The sequence below is a fragment of the Homo sapiens genome, chromosome 22, assembly GCF_000001405.40.
Source record: "Homo sapiens chromosome 22, GRCh38.p14 Primary Assembly".
Lineage (NCBI taxonomy): Eukaryota > Metazoa > Chordata > Mammalia > Primates > Hominidae > Homo > Homo sapiens.
Genome location: NC_000022.11, coordinates 50,551,041 through 50,575,614, shown reverse-complemented (window position 1 = coordinate 50,575,614; position 24,574 = coordinate 50,551,041). Strand labels below are relative to the sequence as shown.

At 52.2% G+C, this 24,574-nt stretch overlaps 2 protein-coding genes and 2 long non-coding RNA genes across 10 annotated transcripts in view, besides 3 other annotated features; 3 read left to right on the top strand and 1 right to left on the bottom strand.

Moving 5' to 3' along the window:
• The window catches only part of CHKB-CPT1B (CHKB-CPT1B readthrough (NMD candidate)), a 14,139-nt gene extending 7,385 nt beyond the window's left edge, over positions 1 to 6,754 (top strand). Inside the window, exons 18-30 of the long non-coding RNA NR_027928.2 lie at positions 1,015 to 1,122; positions 1,196 to 1,280; positions 1,900 to 2,095; positions 2,555 to 2,740; positions 3,307 to 3,412; positions 3,493 to 3,609; positions 4,076 to 4,240; positions 4,328 to 4,457; positions 4,572 to 4,724; positions 5,209 to 5,322; positions 5,947 to 6,039; positions 6,194 to 6,448; positions 6,534 to 6,754. This is a non-coding gene — a long non-coding RNA (CHKB-CPT1B readthrough (NMD candidate)). The remainder of the gene's footprint in view (positions 1 to 1,014; positions 1,123 to 1,195; positions 1,281 to 1,899; positions 2,096 to 2,554; positions 2,741 to 3,306; positions 3,413 to 3,492; positions 3,610 to 4,075; positions 4,241 to 4,327; positions 4,458 to 4,571; positions 4,725 to 5,208; positions 5,323 to 5,946; positions 6,040 to 6,193; positions 6,449 to 6,533) is intronic.
• Positions 1 to 6,754, top strand: part of CPT1B (carnitine palmitoyltransferase 1B) — a 9,752-nt gene extending 2,998 nt beyond the window's left edge. For 4 of the 6 annotated variants that reach the window (NM_001145134.2, NM_001145135.2, NM_152246.3 and 1 more), the window contains 13 exons: positions 1,015 to 1,122; positions 1,196 to 1,280; positions 1,900 to 2,095; positions 2,555 to 2,740; positions 3,307 to 3,412; positions 3,493 to 3,609; positions 4,076 to 4,240; positions 4,323 to 4,457; positions 4,572 to 4,724; positions 5,209 to 5,322; positions 5,947 to 6,039; positions 6,194 to 6,279; positions 6,534 to 6,754. In NM_001145134.2, coding sequence (NP_001138606.1) covers positions 1,015 to 1,122; positions 1,196 to 1,280; positions 1,900 to 2,095; positions 2,555 to 2,740; positions 3,307 to 3,412; positions 3,493 to 3,609; positions 4,076 to 4,240; positions 4,323 to 4,457; positions 4,572 to 4,724; positions 5,209 to 5,322; positions 5,947 to 6,039; positions 6,194 to 6,277 — 1,542 coding nt within the window. In that variant the 3' untranslated portion in view covers positions 6,278 to 6,279; positions 6,534 to 6,754. Of the gene's footprint in view, positions 1 to 1,014; positions 1,123 to 1,195; positions 1,281 to 1,899; positions 2,096 to 2,554; positions 2,741 to 3,306; positions 3,413 to 3,492; positions 3,610 to 4,075; positions 4,241 to 4,322; positions 4,458 to 4,571; positions 4,725 to 5,208; positions 5,323 to 5,946; positions 6,040 to 6,193 lie in introns of all 6 variants that reach the window. The other 2 variants (NM_152245.3, NM_004377.4) reach the window with 1 other exon arrangement.
• Positions 5,381 to 5,450: an enhancer, noted in NCBI's record as "active region_19331". NCBI's record gives its function as "activates an Ori minimal core promoter by ATAC-STARR-seq in GM12878 lymphoblastoid cells {active_cell/tissue: GM12878}" and the evidence as "EXISTENCE:reporter gene assay evidence [ECO:0000049][PMID:35858748]".
• LOC107985568 (uncharacterized) lies at positions 6,472 to 12,654 on the bottom strand. Its single transcript, XR_001755606.3, has 2 exons — positions 12,048 to 12,654; positions 6,472 to 7,008 (listed from the first exon to the last, which is right to left on the bottom strand). It is a non-coding gene; the product is annotated as an uncharacterized LOC107985568 (long non-coding RNA).
• Positions 12,595 to 13,004: a silencer, noted in NCBI's record as "silent region_13997". NCBI's record gives its function as "represses an Ori minimal core promoter by ATAC-STARR-seq in GM12878 lymphoblastoid cells {active_cell/tissue: GM12878}" and the evidence as "EXISTENCE:reporter gene assay evidence [ECO:0000049][PMID:35858748]".
• Positions 12,696 to 24,503, top strand: SYCE3 (synaptonemal complex central element protein 3). 2 transcript variants are annotated; one of them, NM_001123225.3, is made up of 3 exons: positions 12,696 to 12,757; positions 19,210 to 19,318; positions 24,213 to 24,503. In NM_001123225.3, exons 2-3 carry the CDS (start codon positions 19,210 to 19,212, stop codon positions 24,368 to 24,370), a joined length of 267 nt encoding a protein of 88 aa, NP_001116697.1. In that variant the 5' UTR covers positions 12,696 to 12,757; the 3' UTR covers positions 24,371 to 24,503. The 2 variants fall into 2 exon arrangements, with proteins under 2 accessions (NP_001116697.1, XP_024308029.1); XM_024452261.2 differs by lacking the exon at positions 12,696 to 12,757 and adding an exon at positions 13,537 to 13,822.
• Positions 14,075 to 14,273: a silencer, noted in NCBI's record as "fragment chr22:50999771-50999969 (GRCh37/hg19 assembly coordinates)". NCBI's record gives its function as "represses an EF-1alpha promoter that drives an FKBP-Casp9 reporter gene in an ReSE screen in both phorbol 12-myristate 13-acetate-treated (for megakaryocytic differentiation) and untreated K562 erythroleukemia cells {active_cell/tissue: K562 | K562(+PMA)}" and the evidence as "EXISTENCE:reporter gene assay evidence [ECO:0000049][PMID:32094911]".
• Positions 24,504 to 24,574: the final 71 nt, after the last annotated feature.

Below are 24,574 nucleotides of genomic sequence, written 5' to 3'. Positions count from 1 at the left end.
GCTGCTGCTTTTAGAGCTCAGGAAGTCAGTCTGCCTCTGCCCCATGTAACTGGCCCTTCTGAGTCTCTGGGTCTCCCAGCCACCTGGGCTGTATGGCATGCCTCTTCTCTCCTTTCCCACGGTCCAAAGCACACTTGACTTGCCAGAGCCTACTGGAATTCTCCTCCATAAGCTGTCCTTCCAGGAACTTACACACAACTTGCCCATAGCAGAGGTTTTAAACTGCTTTTTAGTGGTAGAACCCCTTTATCAAAGCAAAAGAAGTAGAATATAAGCACATAAAATAGCTTATAAAAAGGCAGCTCGGGCCGGGTGCAGTGGCTCACGCCTGTAATCCCAGCACTTTGGGAGGCCGAGGCAGGTGGATCACAAGGTCAGGAGATCGAGAGCATCCTAACACGGTGAAACCCCGTCTCTACCAAAAATACAAAAAATTAGCCGGGCGTGGTGGTGGGCGTCTGTAGTCCCAGCTACTCGGGAGGCTGAGGCAGGCAAATGGCGTGAACCCGGGAGGTGGAGCTTGAAATGAGCCGAGATCGCACCACTGCACTCCAGCCTGGGTGACAAGAGCGAGACTCTATCTCAGAAAAATAAATAAATAAAAATTTAAAAATAAAAATAAATAAACAAATAAAAAGGAAGCTCAGAGCCAGGCGTGGTGGTGCATGACTCTAATCCCTGCAACTCAGGAGGCTGCAGCAGGAGGATCACTTAGGGCGAGTAATTTGAGGCTGCAGTGAGCCATGCTTGTTCCGCTGCACTCCAGCCTGGGCGACAGAGCAAGACCCTAACTCTAAAAAATAAAGAATAAAGCAGCTCAGGCTGAAGCTGGAGCAGAGGGTTACTGCGATCAGTTGTGCATTTCTGGAGGTTCACCCCGGCAGCATGTGCAGGATGTACTGGAAGAGGGAGACAGAACACCTCAGGCCCCCGAATAGATTGGTCCTTGGGTCAGCAAGACTCAGGTGACACCCAGACAGAGGCCCCCACCCCGCGGGCTCTGTTCCTCTGTAGGACCTTGTGCTCATCAAGAATACAGACGTGCAGGCAGCCCGCCTGGGAAACATCATCCACGCCATGATCATGTATCGCCGTAAACTGGACCGTGAAGAAATCAAGCCTGTGAGTTGCGTCAGGGTTGAAGGTGGGATGGGAGGGGAGACCTGAGTCTGAGCCATGCTGGGCCTTCCCTCAGGTGATGGCACTGGGCATAGTGCCTATGTGCTCCTACCAGATGGAGAGGATGTTCAACACCACTCGGATCCCGGGCAAGGACACAGGTAACTGAGCCCCCTCGCTGCTACCTGTGGGCCATCTGGCTGGCTCGCTGCCCTCCTGCCTGCTCATCACCAAGCGTCCCCAGTGTCTCAGGGTCCTGAAACTGTGAACAGTAGTCAATTGTGACAGATACTAGACATCCATTGTTTACAGGCATGATGCTGGCGCAGGGACCCCACAGGGCCCAGAGCAGAGCCCCTCCCCTCCGGGGCTCACTGCGCATGGTGAAGGGAGTCCTGCTGCAGCCCAAAGCTTAGGACAGACCCGGCGCTGCCATGGAGCCGGCAGAGGAGGGGAGGGGCGCACCCAGGGGTCTGGCAGAGGCAGCAGCCTTCCCTGCTTCTGACACTGTATCCTTAGGCGGTTTGCACAACCCTCTAGTGCGTCGTTTCCTCTTCTGTGAAATACTTTATAGGATTGTTGGTGTTGCGTGAGAGAGAGTGGAAGCACCCAGCACAGGGCCTGGTTTAGGACACACGGATCCCATCCAGGGGGCAGGAAGGCCCAGGCAGAGGCCGAGCAAAACAGGGTCTGCAGGGGTCACCTAGTGCATGGGAGGTGGGCCCTTCCCAGGATGTAGCTGGGGGCCCCGCCTCAGCTTGCCCGTGGCCTGTATCACAGATGTGCTACAGCACCTCTCAGACAGCCGGCACGTGGCTGTCTACCACAAGGGACGCTTCTTCAAGCTGTGGCTCTATGAGGGCGCCCGTCTGCTCAAGCCTCAGGATCTGGAGATGCAGTTCCAGAGGATCCTGGACGACCCCTCCCCACCTCAGCCTGGGGAGGAGAAGCTGGCAGCCCTCACTGCAGGAGGAAGGTATTGGCCTCTAGGAAGGGACTGTCCCCACCCTGAGTTCAGGGCTCCGTGAGGAGAGGAGCGTGGCCCTGCCTGCCACCCTGGAACTGGAGGCTGGAGGCACAACTAGGGGAGGGGCATTGGTGGTCATGGCAGCAGGACAGCCAGCATAACCTACCTCTGACGGGTGGCAGCCAGGTGAAGTGTGCAGAGGGTGGGGACACCCTCCAAAATAGCTTGGCACCCCCCACCTCCAGGCCCAGCCTGGCACACACACCCCCACCTCCAGGCGCAGCCTGGCACGCACCCCAACACCTCCAGGCCCAGCCTGGCACCCCCACATCTCCAGGTCCAGCGTGGTACCCCCCATCTCCAGGTCCAGCCTGGCACCCCACCCCCATCTCCAGGTCCAGCCAGGCCCTCAGAGGCACCCTCATCCCAAGTCCACGTGCCCACTGCTTACCCTGCCCCATGCTTCAGGGTGGAGTGGGCGCAGGCACGCCAGGCCTTCTTTAGCTCTGGAAAGAATAAGGCTGCCTTGGAGGCCATCGAGCGTGCCGCTTTCTTCGTGGCCCTGGATGAGGAATCCTACTCCTATGACCCCGAAGATGAGGCCAGCCTCAGCCTCTATGGCAAGGCCCTGCTACATGGCAACTGCTACAACAGGTACGGCAGCCCCAGCCCCACAGGTTACAGCTTAAGGTTAAAAGTTAGGGTTATGGTTAGAGGATTAAAGATAAAAGAAGGTAGGGTTATGAGCTGGGTGCAGTGGCACACACCTGTGATCCTAGCACTTTGGGGGCCAAGGCAGGTGGATCACTTGAGTGCAGGAGCTCAAGACCAGCCTGGGCAACGGAGCGAGACCCCTTCATAAAAGTAGTTAGGATTGTGATTAGTGGTTGGGTAGGGCTAGTGGCTAGGGTTAAAAGCTAGGGTTTGGGTTATAGAATAGGGTTAAAAGCCGGGCATGGTGGCAGGCACCTGTAATCCCAGCTAGTCGGAAGGCTGACGCAGGAGAAGCCCTTGAACCCGGGAGGTTATGGGAAGCTAAGATCACACCACTGCACTCCAGCCTGGGCAACAGAGCAAGATTCCATCTCAATTTAAAAAAAAAGTGAGAGAAAAAGAGAGAGAGAATAGGGTTAGTAATTAGGGTTAAAGGTTGGGGTTGCAGGTCAGGCACCTCTGGACATTCCCAGCTTTGGTTCTTCATGTGTCTACTCTTCCTGCAGGTGGTTTGACAAATCCTTCACTCTCATTTCCTTCAAGAATGGCCAGTTGGGTCTCAATGCAGAGCATGCGTGGGCAGATGCTCCCATCATTGGGCACCTCTGGGAGGTAATAGCCTTGCAGAGGGAACCTGCAGGGCAGGCTGTAGGGGATGAGGCCAGCCTCTCAGTCTCATCCTCTCCCTGCAGTTTGTCCTGGGCACAGACAGCTTCCACCTGGGCTACACGGAGACCGGGCACTGCCTGGGCAAACCGAACCCTGCGCTCGCACCTCCTACACGGCTGCAGTGGGACATTCCAAAACAGGTGGGTTGGAAGCTCCCAGAGCAGGTGTGAGACCACAAAGCAGCAGGTGGGTACAGCCCCGACGAGGCCTGAGCCTCCTCCTCCCCTGCTGGCCTCACTGCCTGGCCCAGCCCTCGGGAAGGCACAGGGCACGTCTCAGGATACCTGTAGAGTCCAAACTGGCTTCAGGGAGGACAGAGACCACCCACCGCCCCTGGGGCCATCTGTGTTTAGAGACAGCCATGAGATGGAGGAGGCACTCACAGGCCCCTGGAGCATTTTCAGCACTTCCCTCTTACCCACAAAGCTGAGCCCGGCCTCTGGGGGCTGATTCTCCCTCAGACTGTCTTTTGCGTACCCTCCTCCTGAAGATGTCTTGGCCGGCTGTGCCCTTTCTCCACCAGCTAAACGTCATGCCTCCTAGACATGACCCAGAGTCCTGCTTGGAGAGCCCTACCCTCAGCTGACCCTTCCCATGTCTTGGCAGTGCCAGGCGGTCATCGAGAGTTCCTACCAGGTGGCCAAGGCGTTGGCAGACGACGTGGAGTTGTACTGCTTCCAGTTCCTGCCCTTTGGCAAAGGCCTCATCAAGAAGTGCCGGACCAGCCCTGATGCCTTTGTGCAGATCGCGCTGCAGCTGGCTCACTTCCGGGTAGGAGCCCCGCCTCCCGCTGCTGAGAGGGCAGGGTGGTACCAGGGTCCACCTGCCAGATTCACCCCTCTGTATATCCCAGGACAGGGGTAAGTTCTGCCTGACCTATGAGGCCTCAATGACCAGAATGTTCCGGGAGGGACGGACTGAGACTGTGCGTTCCTGTACCAGCGAGTCCACAGCCTTTGTGCAGGCCATGATGGAGGGGTCCCACACAGTAAGTGTCCTCTGCCCATGTGGGGGTCACAGTCGTCGGGTGAGGTGCCCCCTCTGCCTCCTGTCTGCCTGGAGGGCCAGGGCTACTCTTCACCCCTTTACTTCTGCCCCGCAGAAAGCAGACCTGCGAGATCTCTTCCAGAAGGCTGCTAAGAAGCACCAGAATATGTACCGCCTGGCCATGACCGGGGCAGGGATCGACAGGCACCTCTTCTGCCTTTACTTGGTCTCCAAGTACCTAGGAGTCAGCTCTCCTTTCCTTGCTGAGGTCAGCACCGTTGTTGGGTGTGTCCTTTGTCCCACTGCCCTCCTACACGCAGGGCTTGGGCCATCTCATGATGGAGCACGGCCTGTTTTCCTGGCTTGCTCCCCTGAAGCTCCCTGGAGTGCTGGGCCAGCTTTCCCGCCCACACCCCACCTGGGCCTGTGGTCCTGGGACTGAGCAGGAGCAACATCCTCTTTGTGGTGTTGGTGTCCTTGTGACAGGGAACAGACAAATATATGATCTGTCAGGTGGTGACAGCACTACTGAGACTAGTGAGGCTATGTGGGGGAGAGGCAGAGCAGAGGGAGGGCTGGGCAGCTCACACAAGCCTTATGTGGCATGATGCACAGGGGACCACGGGGTGGTGGCCAGGGAGCTCCTGCACCCTCAGCAGAACCGTGTCTGGCTCAGAGTAGGTCGCAGACACCACGTGTTGGACAGGTGCTTTGGGTATGTGGCCTCTGACCAGCTGTGGCCTCCATTGCAGGTGCTCTCGGAACCCTGGCGTCTCTCCACCAGCCAGATCCCCCAATCCCAGATCCGCATGTTCGACCCAGAGCAGCACCCCAATCACCTGGGCGCTGGAGGTGGCTTTGGCCCTGTGAGTGCTCCTGAAGGGGGTGGGTGGGCAGCACCAGGGCCCTGAGGGTTTCAGTGGCGAGTGCAGGCCCTGAGGTCAGACGAGAGGCAGGAGCACCTTGCTTAGAGGAGAGCATAACCCCAGACCTGCATGGAAGCAGAATGTTAGCTATGGACTCAGGCAGCCAAGCACCTGGGACCCACCCATCCCAAATACCTCCCTGCTGAAGCATGACCGTGGTTTCCGGGGTACTGAAGCATGACTGTGGGGCTGGTTTCCAGGGTACTGGGCAGTGCACTGGGTGCTTCTGAAGTCTACTTATCCAAGAGAGTGCAGCTGTCTCCCACAGAAACCTTCACATGGGCTAGCTTGTCAGAAGGCTAGAGAACCCTCTGGAGAGAGACGGAGTGATCTAGAGAATAAGCCCCCTGAGGGAAACTGGGAGGTCCCAGATCCCTTGGCGGGGTCTGGGCAGCATTCTTTGGTTTTCACAGTTTCCTGGGGGTGGTCCTCAGGAAAAATGCAGTGTCTAGGGCTGGGGCCCGTTCCTGCAACTCTTGTGGGAAGAACAAGTACAATATCAGCTTGGCTTTCAGATCTTCAAGGTTTGATTTATGCCTTCTTCACCCTTCTTGTTGCCCTCAGGTAGCAGATGATGGCTATGGAGTTTCCTACATGATTGCAGGCGAGAACACGATCTTCTTCCACATCTCCAGCAAGTTCTCAAGCTCAGAGACGGTGAGTCTCCTGCCACAGCTCAGGCCTGAGGAAGGGGTGCCACCTGGGGCTGCCCAGGAACACAGGTGTCTTTGGCTGGGGAGGCATCCTTGCTTGTGGGAACAGAGGGGTGGGTACATATCTGAAGGTGCATCTGAACTCTTGGCTCCCACAGAACGCCCAGCGCTTTGGAAACCACATCCGCAAAGCCCTGCTGGACATTGCTGATCTTTTCCAAGTTCCCAAGGCCTACAGCTGAAGGTTGGAGAAATGCCAGCTGCCCTTTCGTCCCCACACTGTGGAGGAAGGGACCTGTGGCAGCTCACAGGCATGAGGGGTGGCCGTGCACAGGTGCCCAGGCTCCAAGGACAGCTCCGGCAGCAGGTCCTCGCTGGGCAGATGCTGCTCCCTGAGGGCCCAGGTGGTGGAGGTGGGGTTGGAGCAGGAAGGGAATTTTGATTTTTTTTTTTCTTGATAGATACTAATAAAAATAAGGCTGTGTAATTTTCTCTCAGCCCTTAGGTACCTGTGTTTTGTTTGGGAACTCGGAGGCCCTCCCCCTCCCCCAGCTCAGACCACAGAGGTGGCAAGAGAAGGGCTGAAGCTGGAAGACTGTTCATGAGGGACTTGTGTGACCTGCTTTGAAATGTGTGACTCTGCTGAGTGACGTAGGCTCTGAGATAGCTGTCCACGCCCACGTGTTTGCTTGGAATAAATACTTGCCTCAGAACCTTCACCTGTTCCCTGGGGCCATTTCTGTTTGTCTGTCTGCTGGAGAGTGAGCCCACCTCCTCCCATGCAGGGGCATGTGTGAGGCACCCCTCTTGGCTGAGGCACAACCCTGCACGGGCCCCGCAGCTTCTTGTCAGCATGGAAAGGGGCTGCAGGCCCAGGCCTGAAGTCTTGAGGCGCCAGGTGGTCATGTCTGCAAGAGGGCACGCAGGATGACCTGTAGCAACAGACACTCCTTCACTGAGGTTGGCTCGGCTGCTAAAATCATGTTAAGAGTAAATACAAAATAATTATTCTTTGTTTTTAAGGCGGAGTTTCGCTCTTGTTGCCCAGGCTGGAGTGCAGTGGCACGATCTCGACTCACTACAACCTCTGCCTCCTGGGTTCAAGCGATTCTCGTACCTCAGCTCCTGAGTAGCTGGGACAACAGGCGCCCGCCATCACGCCCGGCTAATTTTTTGTATTTTTAGTAGAGGCAGGGTTTTACCATGTTGGCCAGGCTGGTCTCGAATTCCTGACCTCAGGTGATCCACCTGCCTCAGCCTCCCAACGTGCAGGGATTATAGGTGTGAGCCACCGCACCCAGCCATAAAAAATAATTTTTATGAAAAGTATAAGTAGGCCCTCAATTACTGTAATTGAAGTGAATTAGATTCAGTTCTGGACCTTCATTTAGGAACCAGTGTCTTCATCTGTTTTTGTTTTTTTCTTTTTTTTCCCATGAGATAGGGTCTCACTATGTTGCCCAGGCTGGTCTCGAACTCCTGAGCTTAAGTGATCCTCCCACCTCGACTTTCCAAAGTGCTAGGATTTCAGGCGTGAGCCACCGTGCCCGGCCAGGAACCAGTGTCTGTTGAACACCCACCATAGACTTGGCCCTGTGCTGGGGATTCAGTGGTAAACAAGGTCCTATTCCTGCCCATGTCGAATTCACTGCTGGGTGAGGCAGGTGTGGTCAGGGGACAGAGCAGCTGGCAGGAAACCAGGAGGCTTTTGGGATAATCCACTTACCAAGTACAGGCATGGGTTGCTTAATGAAGGGGATACATTCTGAGAAGTGCATTGTTAGGCGATTTTGTTGTGCAAAGATTCTAGAGTGCATTTACACAAAGGTAGATGGTGCAGCCTACTACAGACCTGGGCTATGCTGCTTACCCTGTTGCTCCTAGGCCGCATGCCTTTACAACATGTTACCATACTGAATACTGTAGGCAACTGTAATACAATGGGAAGTCTTTGTGTATCTAAACTTGTCTAAACATAGAAAAGGTATAGTAAAAATGTTATATAAAAGATTAAAAATGGCACCCTTATGGCCAGGTGCAGTGGCTCACGCCTGTGATCCCAGCACCTTGGGAGGCCGAGGCAGGTGGATCACGAGGTCAGAAGATCGAGACCATCCTGGCTAACACGGTGAAACAGTGTCTCTACTAAACAAAATACAAAAACTAGCCAGGCATGGTGGCGGGCGCCCGTAGTCCTAGCTGCTTGGGAGGCTGAGGCAGGAGGATGGCGTGAACCCAGGAGGCGGAGCTTGCACTGAGCCAAGATGGCACCACTGCACTCCAGCCTGGGCAACAGAGCGAGACTCCGTCTCAAAAAAAAAAAAAATGGTACCCTTATATAAGACACTTATAAGACACCATGGGCTGGGCGCAGTGGCTCACGCTTGTAATCTCAGCACTTTGGGAGGCCAAGGCAGGTGGATCACAAGGTCAGGAGATCAAGACCACGGTGAAACCCTGTCTCTACTAAAAATACAAAAAATTAGCCAGGTGTGGTGGTGGGTGCTTGTAGTCCCAGCTACTGGGAGAGGCTGAGGCAGGAGAATGGCGTGAACCTGGGAGGTGGAGCTTGCAGTGAGCCAAGATCGCGCCACTGCACTCCAGCCTGGGCGACAGAGCAAGACTCCGTCTCAAAAAAAAAAAAAGAGGAAAAGTAAGTGGAGAGACAAAAGGAGAGGTGGGTGGCAATTTCAGACAGTGGCAAAAGCAAGCCTTCCTGATTGGGGTCCTTTGACCACAGGCCTGAAGGAGACGAGGAGCAAGTCATGTCCCTCATGTCCCTCATGTTCCGTACCTAAGGGCAGAGTATTCCTGGCTGAAGGAACAGCAAGAGCCAAAGCTTTGCGAGCGGTGTCTGCTGTGATGAAGGATGTGGCTAGTGTGGAGTCAGGGATGGGAAGAGCAAGCGGGGCAGCTAGATCGGGGTAACAAGGGCCTCGTAGGCCAGATTCTGGATTTTCTGAATGACGGGGGAAGCTGTTGGGCTTTGAACAGAGGGTGGCATAATCTGTCCTAATTTTAAGGGATCACTGGCTAACCAGGGTGGCGTTAGAACAAAGTAGGACGCAGTAACAGTGGAAGCAAGGAGACCCGCTGGAGAAGTGCTCCTGGTGGTGGTGGAGCTGGAAGAAATGAGCGGCTTAAACTAAGGCAGTGCCATAGGAAAGTAGAATTAAGGAGCTTGGAATGTCAAACGTAGGACTGACAAGTCTAATCAGGAGGAATCAAAGATAACTCATATTTTCTATATTGGGTGATTGGGTGATTAAATTAGGTCTTTAAATGTTGAATTTGACTTGCCTATAAGAAATAGCTGTGAAAATGTCTCAGACTCTTGAAAATATAAATGAAAAGCTAAGGAGAGATCTAGGCTCCTTCTAACAGTTTTGAAGACAGTTAAAACCTTGAAAGTGCATGAGAGGATTCCCAGGGCAGAGGCTCCTCACCTCCTTCAAGTCTTCATGAGCTATAAGAGTATGCCTCTTGGGGCCGGGCGCGGTGGCTCACACCTGTAATCCCAGCACTTTGGGAGGCCGAGGCGGGCAGATCACGAGGTCAGGAGATCGAGACCATCCTGGCTAATACAGCAAAACCCTGCCTCTACTAAAAATACAAAAATTAGCCGGGTGTGGTGGCACGTGCCTGTAGTCCCAGCTACTCAGGAGGCTGAGGCAGGAGAATCGCTTGAACCCAGGAGATGGAGGTTGCAGTGAGCTAAGATGGTGCCACTGTACTCCAGCCTGGGAGACCGAGACTCTGTCTCAAAAAAAAAAAAAAAAAAAGAGTACACCTCTGCCTGCAAAATGTTACATTCCATATCAGAGCGTTCTTCAGCTTCCAAAAGTATTTCCAGAGACCTCTACCTGTTTGGGTGCCAGTAAGCCTCCCCTGGGAAGGTGCCTGCGTTTTGGTAGTCTTCTGGGGACATCAGCTCACCCCGTCCTGAGATAGCAGTAAACAGAGTTTCCAACAAGCTAGCTTTCAATTAACATCAAAATTCAGCATTAAAGTTCTTTTATCTCATTTGTTCTGGGTTAAAATAGTGAGATGAGGAACAACAGTGGTAAACCAGGGTATAAACCTCTGGAGACTGCTGGGCATGGTAGCTCACGCCTGTAATGCCTGTGCTTTGGGAGGTCTTGAGCCCAGGAGTTCGAGACCAGCCTGGGTGGTGCAGTGAGACCCCATCTCTACAAAATTAAAAAAAAAAAATTAGCCAGGCGTGGTGGCACTTGCCTGTGGCCCCAGCTACTCTGGAGGCTGAGTTGGGAGGATTACTTGAGCCTGAGAGATTGAGGCTGCAGTGAGCCATGATTGACCCACTGCATTCCAGCCTAGGTGACAGAGCAACACCCTGTCTTAAAAAAATAAATAAACCTCTGATGACAACCCAAACCCCAATTAGTTCCCCATGTCCCATAGGTCTGCAGGTCTGCATTAATAAAAGCTAGCAGCCATAACATAAATCCTGAAACCTCATGGCTCAACCCAATAGAAGCTGGACTGTTGGTCAGATAAAATCCAGTTGGCTGAGATGAGGGCTCTGCTCCATACTGTTATTCAAGGATCTATGGTGACAGAGGCCCTGCCTTCAGCAGGTAGTACTCAAGCTGCCTTGGGCATCAACATCATAAGTACGTGGGGAGAGAAAGAGGGGGCCACCTGTGGGAGGCTTTGATGGCCTCAACCTCAAAGTGATACACAGCATTTCCCTCCACACCCTCTGGCTAAAGACTTGTATTTCAAGAGAATCTGAGAAGTAGAGTCTAGCTGTGTGTCCAGGGCGTAAAGGAAACATTTAGTGACAGTTGGTCTCAGATACACAAGGGCATGGGAAGACCAGCCTGACATCTTCCTGGGCTTCATGGCCTGGAGTTTGCAGGGTAGCCCACCTCCAGCTCCTGAGCAGGGTACTCAAGAGCCTGCACATTCCAGCTCAACTGATCTTTCCCGAGTCTTCTCTGTCCCTTACCAAGAACCCTGAGCCCAGAACACACTCGCCATTCCCCAAAGGAGGCAGGCTGAGCCACACCTTCGCCTTTGCCCTAGATGGGCCTTCTGCCTGGAATCCTGTGCCCTTTCTCCTACTCTCTCGGAAGCTGTCTTCCTTAGCCATCAGAATTATTCCTGATTCGGGCCAAGCACAGTGGCTCACACCTGTAATCCCAGCACTTTGGGAGTCCGAGGCGGGTGGATCACCTGAGGACAGGAGTTCGAGACCAGCCTGGCCAACATAGCGAAACCCGGTCTCTACTAAAAATACAAAAACTAGCTGGGCGTTGTGGCATGTGCTTGTAATCCCAGCTACTAGGGAGGCTGAGGCAGGAGAATCACTTGAACCTGGGAGGCGGAGGTTGCAGTGAGCCGAGATCGTGCCACTGCACTCCAGCCTGGGCAACAGAGCAAGACTCCGTCTCAAAAAAAAAAAAAAAGAATTATTCCCTATTCATGTTTCTCTGGGCTGCTGTAACAGAAATCGGCTCTGGGCTGTATAAGCAAATGGAAGTATGAAGAGCAGCTCACAGGTGGAAAGGGATGGCCAGAAAACCGGGTTCAACCGGGGCAGGAACCTGGCAGCTGGCGGAGGGAGTGTGGCCCAGGCAGCAGCCTCCTCAATAAACAAGCGAATGCTCACTCCTTGCCCAGAACTGTCTGGCTCAACCCCAGCCATTTTTCCTCCTCTGCAATCAGGCTGCTAAGAATCAGAATCCCTGAGAGAAAATTCAGGGGGTCTAAGGTTTGTCAGGATTCTCAAACACAAGGTGTTCAAAATCAAAGTTAACCTTCCAAGCTAGCTTCTCCCACTCTTCCACATCTCTGCCAGTGGTATCACCCCGGCCATTAGCCCCTTGCTTCTTTCTCCCTCCCTCCCACATTACCAAGCCCTGTCAAGTCGACCTTGGAATGGCTTTGACCCTGTCCACCACTCAGCCAAACAACAGCAACGGCCGGCCCCGTCGCCACCCGCCTCGGCAGCCAGAGACCTTTTAACTCTGCCACTCGCCTACTTACCACCCTTCTAGGGTGCCCACGTCCCTCTGAAAAAAAAGGCTGAGCTCAGACTGGCCTCTGGTCAGCCTCCTCCCAGCCAGAGCTTTCTGTCACTGCCCTTCTAGGTGTTGAGTGGCTCTGCTTCCAGTTCTTGCCTGGAGACCAGGAGCGCCCGGGAGGCCCCAGCACTTTCCAGCCCACATAGACCTGCGTGCACCTCTGCCTCGTCTCCCTGAGCCCGGGCTGCCTCCTCTGTAAGATACATGCCACATAATGTCCGCCACACATGATCGCTGTGACAGTGGAAATAGCTGGGCGTTCAGCGACTCATTCGACAAATGTTTACCAGCACCTTTGGTACCGGGCGCTGTCCTGGACACTGGGGACACAGCAGGCAAACGGGGCCCTGCGTATAAATCCTTAAGCTCAAGAAGGAGGTGGGGGCAAAACTGTCAGGCCGGGAAGCTCTTCATCTCCGCAGGATTCTCCCTCAACCTCAGGACGTCCCCAGCACCGCACCTGCCAGTCCCAGACTCGGACGCCGCAGACCTGTGGGAGCAGCGCGGAATGCCCCGCCCCTTTTCCCGAGGACACCCAATGAGGGCGAGAGGTCACTTCCGGGGAGGGTTCGCTAACGGAAAGGGCGGGGCATCCCTCTCGAGGAGCGGCCTTGTTCCTCAAGCGGCCGCTGGGGGCGCCAGAGCAGGACCGGAGCGCGGGCCAAGCTGGAGGTGAGCGAGGCCGCGCCCCCCTGGGCCCCGGCCCTCCCAACGCGCCCTGACGGCTGGGCTCCGCCTGACCCTGTCCTAGCGTTCGCGGTGGCACCAACCTCAAGCCAGACCCTTGACTTCGACCCAACTCCACTCACCCGACTCCACTCACTCCACACCCCATGCCCCTCCCCCGACGCCCCTCACCCCGCCTCACCCTTCACCCCTCATCGCTCACGTCACCGCTCACCCGCCTCCTCACCCAGCCTCGCCCCTCACCCCTCACCCCGCCTCACCCCTCACCCCGCCTCACCCCTCACCCCTCATCCCGCCTCACCCCTCACCCCTCATCCCGCCTCACCCCTCACCCCTCCTCACCCCGCCTCACCCGCCTCGCCCCTCACCCCTCACCCCTCCTCACCCCGCCTCACCCCTCACCCCTCACCCCGCCTCACCCCTCACCCCGCCTCACCCCTCACCCCGCCTCACCCTTCACCCCTCACCCCGCCTCACCCTTCACCCCTCACCCCGCCTCACCCCTCACCCCTCACCCCGCCTCACCCTTCACCCCTCACCCCGCCTCACCCTTCACCCCTCACCCCGCCTCACCCCTCCTTACCCCGCCTCACCCGCCTCGCCCCTCACCCCTCATCGCTCACGTCACCGTTCACCCGCCTCCTCACCCAGCCTCACCCCTCACCCCGCCTCACCCCTCACCCCGCCTCACCCCTCACCCCTCCTCACCCCGCCTCACCCCGCCTCACCCCTCCCCCGCTCCCCTCACTGCACACTCCATACCCCACTCTCCCCACCTTACATCCCTCACCTCAGTCCTTCACCCCCTTAACCTAATCTCCATGTCCTCACACCATACACTCCTGATCCTGAAGTCTGCACACCCTGGGCTTCTCATTCCGTGCAGCCTGCCCCTCTTACCCTCACACCTGCCACACCTGGGACCCCGGAGTCCACACACCACCTCACACCCCAAGTTCCCACACGCACCTCTGGCTTCCTCCACCTGCACTTCAGGACCCGCCCAGACTCTTCATAGCCCAACTCCAAGACTTCTCTCCCACATCACAGGTGCATTCCCTTCCTGTGCTGCTCTCATCCCGTACAAAAGAGCACATCTCTGCACCAAGCATCCCTCTTATCCCCTCACATTCCTTGTTCTCAGAGGGATCCCAGACTCTGTTAGAAACTCTTCGTACCAGGCAAGACACTCAGACCACAAACCAGACTCTAGGCTCTGACTCGCTCAACCCCCGTCCTTCACACCTAAAGTGATACCCAAGCCAGACCCTACACTCCCGCCCCACGCTCCCGCCCCACACTCCTCCCGCCCCACGCTCCTCCCGCCCCACACTTCCGCCACCCATCCTAAGCTCCGTTCCATTGTGCTTTGGTGCGGGCTCAGGCCTCTTTCTCCACCCGTTCCCAGTCATCCCAGGCAACCTCATTAGGCAAGAAATGCCGTGAATTCTAATCCTGTGGCTGCTTCCTCCACATCAGCTCTCACACCCTCTCCCTGGATCTCCTTTTCAGATCCATCCCTCTTCTGAGATCCAGTGCCACTCCGGCCCAGCCTCCATCCTTCTAGCAGTCTCATGCTCTATCCCCAAATCTACCTGTGGCCACCCCAACGCCCCACTTATAGAAACTACATGTCTTTTCTATGCCTCTGCTTCACCCCAACCATCAACCACCCCTTAAGCCACTCTCATACTTGTGCTCTCAGTGTCCTTACCTTGTCCATCCACTGCATGTATGTTTACGTTCCCAGGCCTTCTACACTCCATCCACTGTCTCTGTGCCGTCTTAGGGTCCTGAGGACACTGTGGCCATGTGGCCTCAGTCACATGCCTAGGTGCCCCTAGGGAGGCATGCAGCTTTGATAAAGCTTTATCGTTCTCCTCAAACCAAGAATGTCTGTTGTTACAAGAAGAAACTTTTCATTGCCATTTATTAGGGAGTTAGAGACCATCGGGCCTGAAATCCCCCCCTTGCCATCCTACCTTGACCTCTACCTACCTTATTCTATCTCTACCTCCTTACCTTCCCTTACCTTCATAGGGTGAAATGACCCCTTACTTGTCTGAGACCAGTCCCTGCACCATCAGTTGCCCTTTCTTCTGATTCTTCAGGCTTTTCTGTCCAGGTAGCTCTTTCCACACAGCCTAGAAACGAAGAATTCAAAAAACAAAAAACCTTGACTCTGTATCACCTTCTAGTTACCTCCTGTTTTTTTCTCCCCTTCCCATCTAAATCTGTACACACAATCCATTTTGTCTAATGATCCATTAATTATTTAATTCATGAAATATTTTTACTTTTATGGCTCTCCTGAAACGTCTCACCGAGTTGACCAGTGACACCCAAATCAAATATCTTGAATTTACTGAGCCCTTTTTTTCATTTTGCAGAGGGGATCTTCCAGATCTTCCTCTGTAGCCTAGTCTAGAGTGCTGTGGCACAATTGTCCCACCTCACCCTCCTGAGTAACTAGGACTGGAGGTGCGCACCACCACACCCAGCTATTTTTAAATTTTTTTGTAGAGACTGTTGCCCGGGCTGGTCTGAAACTCCTGGCTTCAAGCATTTCTCCTGCTTTAGCCTCCCAAAGCACTGGGATTCCAGGCATGAGCTACCATGCCTGGGCCTGCCATGCCCAAATACTGTAATCTTTGACACTGGTGTAATATCTCCCAACTTAAAATAAAATACCCCTGTGACTCTACATTACATTCCAGGTACTGGCATGTTTCTCTGCTTCTCTTTGAAGTAAAACTCACCAGTTTCTACTTCTCCTTCCCTCTCTTTAGAAACATTTCGATTGGGCTCTTGTTCCAGCCACTCCATGAAAACAGCTCCTGTCAAGATTGCCAGTGTGACCTCCAGATTGTCAAATCCAGTGGTTACTTTTTATTTATTTTTGTTTTTGTTTTTTTGGAACAGAGTGTTGCTCTGTCACCCAGGCTGGAGTGCAGTGGCATGATCTCGGCTCACTGCAACCTCCACCTTCTGGGTTCAAGGGATTCTTCTGCCTCAGCCTCCTGAGTAGCTGGGACTACAGGCGCCCGTCACCATGCCCAGCTAATTTTTGTATTTTTAGTAGAGATGGGGTTTTGCCATATTGGCCAGGCGGGTCTCGAACTCCTGACCTTGTGATCCCCCGCCTCTGCCTTCCAAAGTGCTGGGATTACAGGCATGACCGACTAAGCCTGGCGGCTACCTCCACTTCTAACACTCTGGTCCAAGCCTCATCATTCCTTACCTGGAGTTTTGCAGCTGCCTCCTAAATGATGTCCCTGTTCCATGCTTTCCACCCCTTAGTCTATTCTCAACACAGAAGCCAGAGTGATCCTTTTAAGTCATTATTCAAATCACATCACCTTTGTCAGATTTTTCCAGTGTTTCCTCATCTCATTCAGAATAAAAATCGAAGTTCTGGCCAGGCATAGTGGCTCACACCTGTAATCCCAGGACTTGGGAGGCCGAAGCAGGCGGATCACCTGAGGTTCAGGAGTTTGAGACCAGCCTGGCCAATATGGCGAAACCCCGTCTCTACTAAAAATACAAAAATTATCTGGGCATGGTGGCGGGCACCTGTAATCCCAGCTACTTGGAAGGCTGAGGCAGGAGAATTGCTTGAACCTGGGAGGCGGAGGTTGTGGTGAGCCGATATGACGCCACTGCACTCCAGCCTGGGCAACAGAGTGAGACTCCGTCTCAAGAAAAAAAAAAAAAGAGTGTGTAGTGAGAAGAGAAGGGGCTAAAAGGACCTTCCTTGACCCATTAGAGCCAGTAAAGGAGAGAGCCAAGAAAGAGCAGGGAAGGAACTACCACAGGTGGACAGAGTTTGGAGAGAACAAGGTTAAAACATCAAGAGAAGAGAATTTTGAGCAGGAGAAAATGGCCAAATGTCAGTGCTGCAGAGATGTTAAATAAAAGAAAGACAGAAAGTGCCCTGGGTGTGCCAGTTATGACTTTGGTGAGAGCATTGTCAGTGAATGTCAGAGACAGATGCCAGATGACAGTGGAGTGAGGAGGACAGACAAACGTGTGAGGCCTGGCTGCTAAAGGAAGGAGAGGGAATAGCTATAGGAGAGGGTTAAGGAAGGTGTTCTGGACATTTCTTCCTCCCATCACCCACTATTAGCCCCCTGCCCTGCCACCTGCCTGTACCTCCCCACTTACTCTTAGCAAACTATTCCTACTTACCAAAAAGCAGGACGGAGTCCCTGCACGTGGAATGGCTCCATGCCCACAGAAGTACCTCCTTTACAGATCCCGAAAGACCATACACCCTGACCCTGCACCCTCATTCTCAGATCTGCCTGTCAGGCCTCCTGGAGGGCCCTTTGCTCCTCCCTCAGAATCTCTACCCTTAACAGGGAGGACGGCAAGAGGGGAAAGATAATAATTTTCTTTCTTTTTTTTTTTTGAGATGAAGTTTCGCTCTTGTCACCCAGACTGGAGTGCAATGGCACAATCTCGGCTCACTGCAACCTCCACCTCCCGGGTTCAAGCGATTCTCCTGCCTCAGCCTCCCCAGTAATCCCAGTAGCTGGGATTAGGCACCTGCCGCCACACCCGGCTAATTTTTATATTTTTAGTAGAGACTGGGTTTCACCATGTTGGCCAGGCTGGTCCCAAACTCCTGACCTCAGGTGATCCACCCACCTCGGCCTCCCAAAGTGTTGGGATTACAGGCATGAGCCTCCGCGCTTGGCCACGATCATGATTTTCTTTCAGAATTAGAGCTTTACAATGGTCAACTCCTTTATTCAGCCAACATTTATTAAGCACTTGCTGTTTTCCTAGCTCTGAGCTGAACACTAGGAATAGTTCATTGGAAAGATGGCCTCTGCTTTCCAGGACCCCACAGTCTAGTTGGGGAGGTAGAGGAATCCACAATCACAATACCAGCTAAGAGGCACCGTGATGAGGGAGGCCCAGGAAGTCACAGGAGAACTGAGTGGAGGCCCTTAACTCTGAAGTAAAGACCAGGAAGGCTTTCCCCACATGTACAGTGGGAACAATACCGCAGCATCTGTGGCCCATCCCTCCCTGTTTTATGCTTACCTGGCTCATTCCTTCACCTTCATGAGGTTACAAGTTCCCTGGCAGCTCTTACATTATTTATCTATTTCTCTCTTTTCTTACTAGTGCCTTGTAGATAAATAGGTGAGCATCAAATATTAACAGAATGAATTAATGTATATTAATAAAGGTGAGGAGAGGATCTGGAGTGATGTAATTACTGTTCAACATTTTAAATAACAACGGATATGATTTATTAAGTGCTCATTACGGTAGGTACTGTGCTGAACAGTATATAATTTATTTCAATTAATCCTCACAAAACTCCACAAGATATAGGTAATACTAATAATTCCCGTTTAAAAAATACAAAACTTGGCTGGGTGTGGTGGCTCACATCTGTAATCTCAGCACTTTGGGAGGCCGAGGTGGATAGATCACCTGAGGTCAGGAGTTTGAGACCAGCCTGGCCAACATGGAGAAACCCCATCTCTACTAAAAATACAAAATTAGCCGGGCGTGGTGGCACTTGCCTGTAATCCCAGCTACTCAGGAGGCTGAGGCAGGAGAATCACTTGAACCCAGGAAGCAGAGGTTGTGGTGAGCCGAGATCGTGCCACTGTGCTCCAGCCTGGGCAACAAGAGCAAAACTTCGTCTCAAAAAAAAAAAAAAAACTCAAAAAAATTACCAAAAATTTGTCGAGAAGATGTGTAAGTTGCCAAAAGTAACACTGCTGATATGAGGTAGCGCCAAGATTTGAACCCAGGCAGCTCAATTCCAGAACCAGGACAGTCTCTATGGGGCACTGCCTCTAATGCCCAGGAGAATTCTTCTGGAAAGTTAAGTTGATTATAATTTTTTTTAATGTATGAATCATTTCATATTTTAAAATTAAACGTACCCGCCTCCAGGCTCCCATCGCTTGATGTCTGTAATTATTACATTAACTGCTTCGACATCTGTCACATCCTGGTTTGTCATATGGTGTGTGTGACTTACTCCCATATTGCACTAGAAATTCCTTAGGTACAGGAATTGTATCTTTGAAACACATCAGCACAATAGCTTGCATCTTAGTGGGTACTCAATATGGTTTTGCAAGAAAAAATTCCATGTCACCATTATGACAGACTTTTTTCATTATAATGAAGATGTTTTCTGTGTTAATGACTCCAGCCTTCAGCTACGTTTGTATGGCAAAGATGGAAGAAAGGGGAAGGACAACTTATATGTGCCGAATGCTATGCTGGGGCCTTTAGACATGTTCCCATTTAACCTTCACAACAGCCCTGTGGAGTACGTGGTATTGTCTGAATCTGAGAGATGGGGAAAGAATTCCTTAGAGAAATCACTGAGTTATAACCAGTGGAGCTGGATTTGAAATGTAGGTCTGTCTGACTGCAGCTTCTTTCTGTGCATTGCCTAGATGGATGATGCTGACCCTGAGGAAAGAAACTATGACAACATGCTGAAAATGCTGTCAGATCTGAATAAGGACTTGGAAAAGCTATTAGAAGAGATGGAGAAAATCTCAGGTAGGATGTGTGAACCCAAAAGTATCTGAGACAGGTCTCAATCAATTTAGAAAGTTTATTTTGCCAAGGTTAAAGATGCACCTGTGACACAGCCTCAGGAGGTCCTCAGGACATATGTTCAAGGTTGGCAGGGTACAGCTTGCTTTTATACATTTTAGGGAGAGAGAATACATCAGTCAGTACCTGTAAGATGTACACTGGTTCGGCCGGGCGCGGTGGCTCACTCCTGTAATCCCAGCACTTTGGGAGGCCGAGACGGGTGGATCACGAGGTCAGGAGATCGAGACCATCCTGGCTAACACAGTAAAACCTCGTCTCTACTAAAAATACAAAAAATTAGCTGGGTGTGGTGGCAGGCACCTGTAGTCCCAGCTACTCGGGAGGCTGAGGCAGGAGAATGGCATGAACCCGGGAGGTGGAGCTTGCAGTGAGCCGAGATGGTGCCACTGCACTCCAGCCTGGGCGACAGAGTGAGACTCTGTCTCAAAAAAAAAAAAAAAAAAGATGTACATTGGTTCGATCTGGAAAGGTGGGACAACTCAAAGGGGGATGATTCCAGGTTATAGATAGATTTAAATTTTTTCTGATTGGCAATTGGTTGAAAGAGTTATGGTCTAAAGACCTGGAATCAATAGAAAGGAATGTCTGGGTTATGACGGTAAGGGGTTGTGGAGACCAGAGTTTTATCATGCAGATGAAGCCTCCGGGTAGCAGGCTTCAGAGGGAATAGATTGTAAAAAGCTTTCTTATCAAACTTAAGGTCTGTGTTCATGTTAATGCTAGTCACCTTTTCCTGAATTCCAAAAGAGAGGCAGGTATAACGAGGCATACCCAATTTCTCCTTCTCCTCACGGCTTGAACCAACTTTGGCCAAGCAATACACCCACCTTGGCCTCCCAAAGTGTTGGGATTACAGGTATGAGCCAGCGTGCCTGGCCAAATAGCTTTTATTCACTAGAGCAGACTTTAGAAAATTTCTCCTTAGAAATGTTTGCAATTTTTTGCCTATGTACTTTTGAACTATGAATAGCTGAGACACGTATCAGTTAATTTAGAGAGTTTATTTTGCCAAGTTTGGGGACACTTATCTGTGACACAGCCTCAGGGGGTCCTAATGACATGTGCCCAAGGTGGTCAGAGCACAGCTTGGTTTTATTTATTTATTTATTTATTTTAAGACAGAGTCTCGCTCTGTCGCCCAGGCTGGAGTACAGTGGCGTGATCTCGGCTCACTGCAAGCTCCGCCTCCCGGGTTCATGCCATTCTCCTGCCTCAGCCTCCCGAGTAGCTGGGACTACAGGCGCCCGCCACCACGCCTGGCTAATTTTTTGTATTTTTAGTAGAGACGGGGTTTCACTGTGTTAGCCAGGATGGTCTTGATCTCCTGACCTCGTGATCCGCCCGTCTCGGCCTCCCAAAGTGCTGGGATTACAGGCGTAAACCACCGCGCCTGGCCTTGTATTTTTAATAGAGACAGGGTTTCACCATGTTGGCCAGGATAGTCTTGATCTCCTGACCTTGTGATCTGCCCGCCTCAGCCTCCCAAAGTCCTGGGATTACAGGTGTGAGCCACCGCGCCTGGCCTTTTTTTTTTTTTTTTTTTGAGACGGAGTCTTGCTCTGTCGTCCAGGCTTGAATGCAATGATGTGATCTCAGCTCACTGCAACCTCCGCCTCTCGGGTTCAAGTGATTCCCCTGCCTCAGCCTCCTGGGTAGGTGGGATTACAGGCGCCTGCCACCATGCCCAGCTAATTTTTGTATTTTTAGTAGAGACGAAGTTTCACCATTTTGGCCAGGCTGGTCTCAAACTCCTAACCTCAGGTGATCCACCTGCCTTGGCCTCCTGAAGTGCTGGGATTACACGCGTGAGCCACCACGCCCAGCCAGCAAACAGTTTTATGTAGTGAAAAATCTATCAATATTTTCCTTTCTGATTTATTGCCATTATTTTGACACCTAGAAAGTCTTTCCTCAATCTGAGATCAGTGAAATATTTAGTTGTATTTTCTTCTACTTTTCTCCGTATTCCTTTTTAACATTTAATCCTAACCCATCTGGCATGCCAAATGACCTACGCTGCGTATTGCTTTTTTTTTTTTTTTGAGACAGAGTCGCGCTCTGTTGCCCAGGCTGGAGTGCAGTGGCACAATCTCGGCTCACTGCAAGCTCTGCCTCCCGGGTTCACGCCATTCTCCTGCCTCAGCCTCCCGAGTAGCTGGGACTACAGGTGCCCGCCACCATGCATGGCTAATTTTTTTTGTATTTTTAGTAGAGATGGAGTTTCCCCGTGTTAGCCAGGATGGTCTCAATCTCTTGACCTCATAATCTGCCTGCCTTGGCCTCCCGAAGTGCTGGGATTACAGGAATGAGCCACCGCACCCAGCCGCATATTGCATTTTTATATAAATCTGCTACAGGCTGGGCACGGTGGCTCACACCTGTAAACCCAGCACTTTGGGAAGCCGAGGCAGGAGGATCACAAGGTCAGGAGTTTGAGACCAGCCTGGGCAATATGGTGAAACTCCATCTCTAATAAAAATACAAAAATTAGCTGGGCGTGTTGGTGGATGCCTGGAATCCCAGCTACTCAGGAGGCTGAGGCAGGAGAATCACTTGAACCCAGGAGACGGAACTTGCAGTGAGCCGAGATCATACCATTGCACTGCAGCCTGGGTGACGGAGCGAGACTCTCTCTTCTGTGATAGTCCCTGGGCATAGAGGGAGGGTGTTTGTATCGTTTTAGCAGCAGGGCATTTGCAGTGTAACAGATCCGGGCCCAGTGCGATGCCAAATGAGGGAGATTCATATCTTTGGTCATCTGCAGAATACCATGATTTTAGTTTCCTTGGAAGCAAAATGAGGGGAGATAAGTTTGACAATTATAAGAGTAATTTGTGCATTAGAACAGAAAAAGGAACCTATTCCATTAGGGCACCAACGAAAAATATGAGGAAAAGTTACAATCTGGTCCTCTCTAGAGGATTATTGTAGCCAAGAAACAATGATTTAATTTGCACTCAAAAAAACGTTATGGCTGGGCGCAGTGGCCTGTAATCCCAGCACTTTGGGATTTTATTTATTTATTTATTTATTTTGAGACAGGGTCATACTCTGTCACCCAAACTGGAGTGCAGTAGTGCAATCTTGGCTCACTGCAACCTCCACCTCCCAGGCTCAAGGGATCCTTTTTTTCATCTCAGCCTCCTGAGTAGTTGCAACTACAGGTGCACACCACCATGCCCAGCTAAATTTTGTATTTTCTGTAAAGACAGGGTTTCAACATGTTGCCCAGTCTGATCTCAAACTTCTGAGCTCAAGTGATCCACCCACCTCAGCCTCCCAAAGTGCTGGGATTATAGGTACCAGCCACCTTGCCCGGCCAGCCACCTTCTTGTATCCTCACATAGAGCCTCACATATCCTTGCATAGAGTGAGAGTGAGCTCTTGTGTCTCTTCTTTAAGGGGTGCTAATCCCATTCAGGAGGGTCTACCCTTAGGACCTAATCATCTCCAAAAGACCCGACCTCCTAATACCATCACGTCGGGGGTTAGGATTTCAACAGGTGAATGTGGGAGGGACACATTCAGTCCATAACATGTGTGCCAGGCAGTTTACATATATCACCCATTTAATTCTCACAGTAAGCCATGAGATTGGTAGGGTCTCCAAAGATGAGGAGACTGAGATTTATGTATATATAACCTCCACCTTCTGGGTTCAAGCGATTCTCCTGCCTCAGCCTCTCTAGTAGCTGGGACTACAGGCACCCACCACCACACCCGGCTAATTTTTATATTTTTAGTAGAGATGGGCCAGGAACACTGGCCATGTTGGCCAGGATGGTCTCAATCTCTTGATCTCGTGATCTACCCCCCTTGGCCTCCCAAAGTGCTGGGATTACAGGCGTGAGCCACCGCACCCGGCCGAGATTGATACATTGCAGACACTTGTTCCAGGTCACAGAGTCGTCAGGTGGGGAGCTGGGAGGCGTACTCTGCTCTGGCCCCAGGTCCCTGCTGCACCTGCTGTCCAGGTAGTCTGCGGCCTCCCTGCACCGGAACGATCTGGGATGCTTGTGAGGATTCCACAAAGAGGAATTTTAAGGGGATGTGTTTGCTATGTACAGTTGGTTGTCATGCAGAGGGGAGATGACCTTTGTTCTGTATAGTTGCAGAGGGCTGAACCACACCAGCCGGTGGACTATGCAGAGAAAAAGTTGGAGGTGGGATTTCTGCACACACTTCTTTGAGTTCACACAAGAAGCATGTGTTCACCTATAGGCCCAGGGAATGCTACCTTCGAGTTGCTGTCAGAGGGAAAGAGCAAGAGAGCCCATCAGTGCATTGGTAGATGGTCAAGGACACCTTCCCAAGAGGAGAAGCCCCAGGCCTGGGCCTCAACGAAAGCATAGAGGTGCCCAGGTGGAGGTGGGCAGGCATCCCAGGCCACTGAACATAAGGTGACATGAGGTTTGGGTCTTGCAGGACTGGAAACAATCAACTCTACCTGAGTGTGTGAGCTTGGGTGGATGACTCCTTAGGGGTCACCTGCAGCCATTGGCTGTGAACTGCTTGTAGGTAAGGAGCTGCGGTTTGCTCTAATTCTCCTCACATTTCGTATCAGACCAGCCTCTAGTTTTTTACATCATGTCTGGTGTATCCAGAAGTTATGCCTTGCATGAGACTAGGAAGCGTCACTATGGATGTTTGTAGGGAGTTTTTATGAGCCTGTAACAAGTAGCCTACCAGCTGTCTCTCCCTAGAGTAATTGGGTGCCTCAGCAGGATCTGGGCCTCCAGATGCTGAGCCCAGCTGGAGGCATCTGACCCTTCTGGGGCACCCCAGAGCTGCAGCCCCTCCCTGTGGCCTGACCAGTCCTGTCTGCTTGTTGCAGTGCAGGCGACCTGGATGGCCTATGACATGGTGGTGATGCGCACCAACCCTACGCTGGCCGAGTCCATGCGTCGGCTGGAGGATGCCTTCGTCAACTGCAAGGAGGAGATGGAGAAGAACTGGCAAGAGCTGCTGCATGAGACCAAGCAAAGGCTGTAGGCCCCACTGGCCCACCACAGCTGCCATGCCACCCTCTGCCCGTATGAAGAGGTCACTGGGGGATGGAGCTGGCACCCACATGAATAGCTGTATGCACTGTACTTGTTTCTTAATAAACTTATTTTTAAGCACAGCCCGAGGACCTCTTCTCTCCTGTGCCATGATCCACCCAGCTGCATATCAAACCTTGTGAACAAAACACAA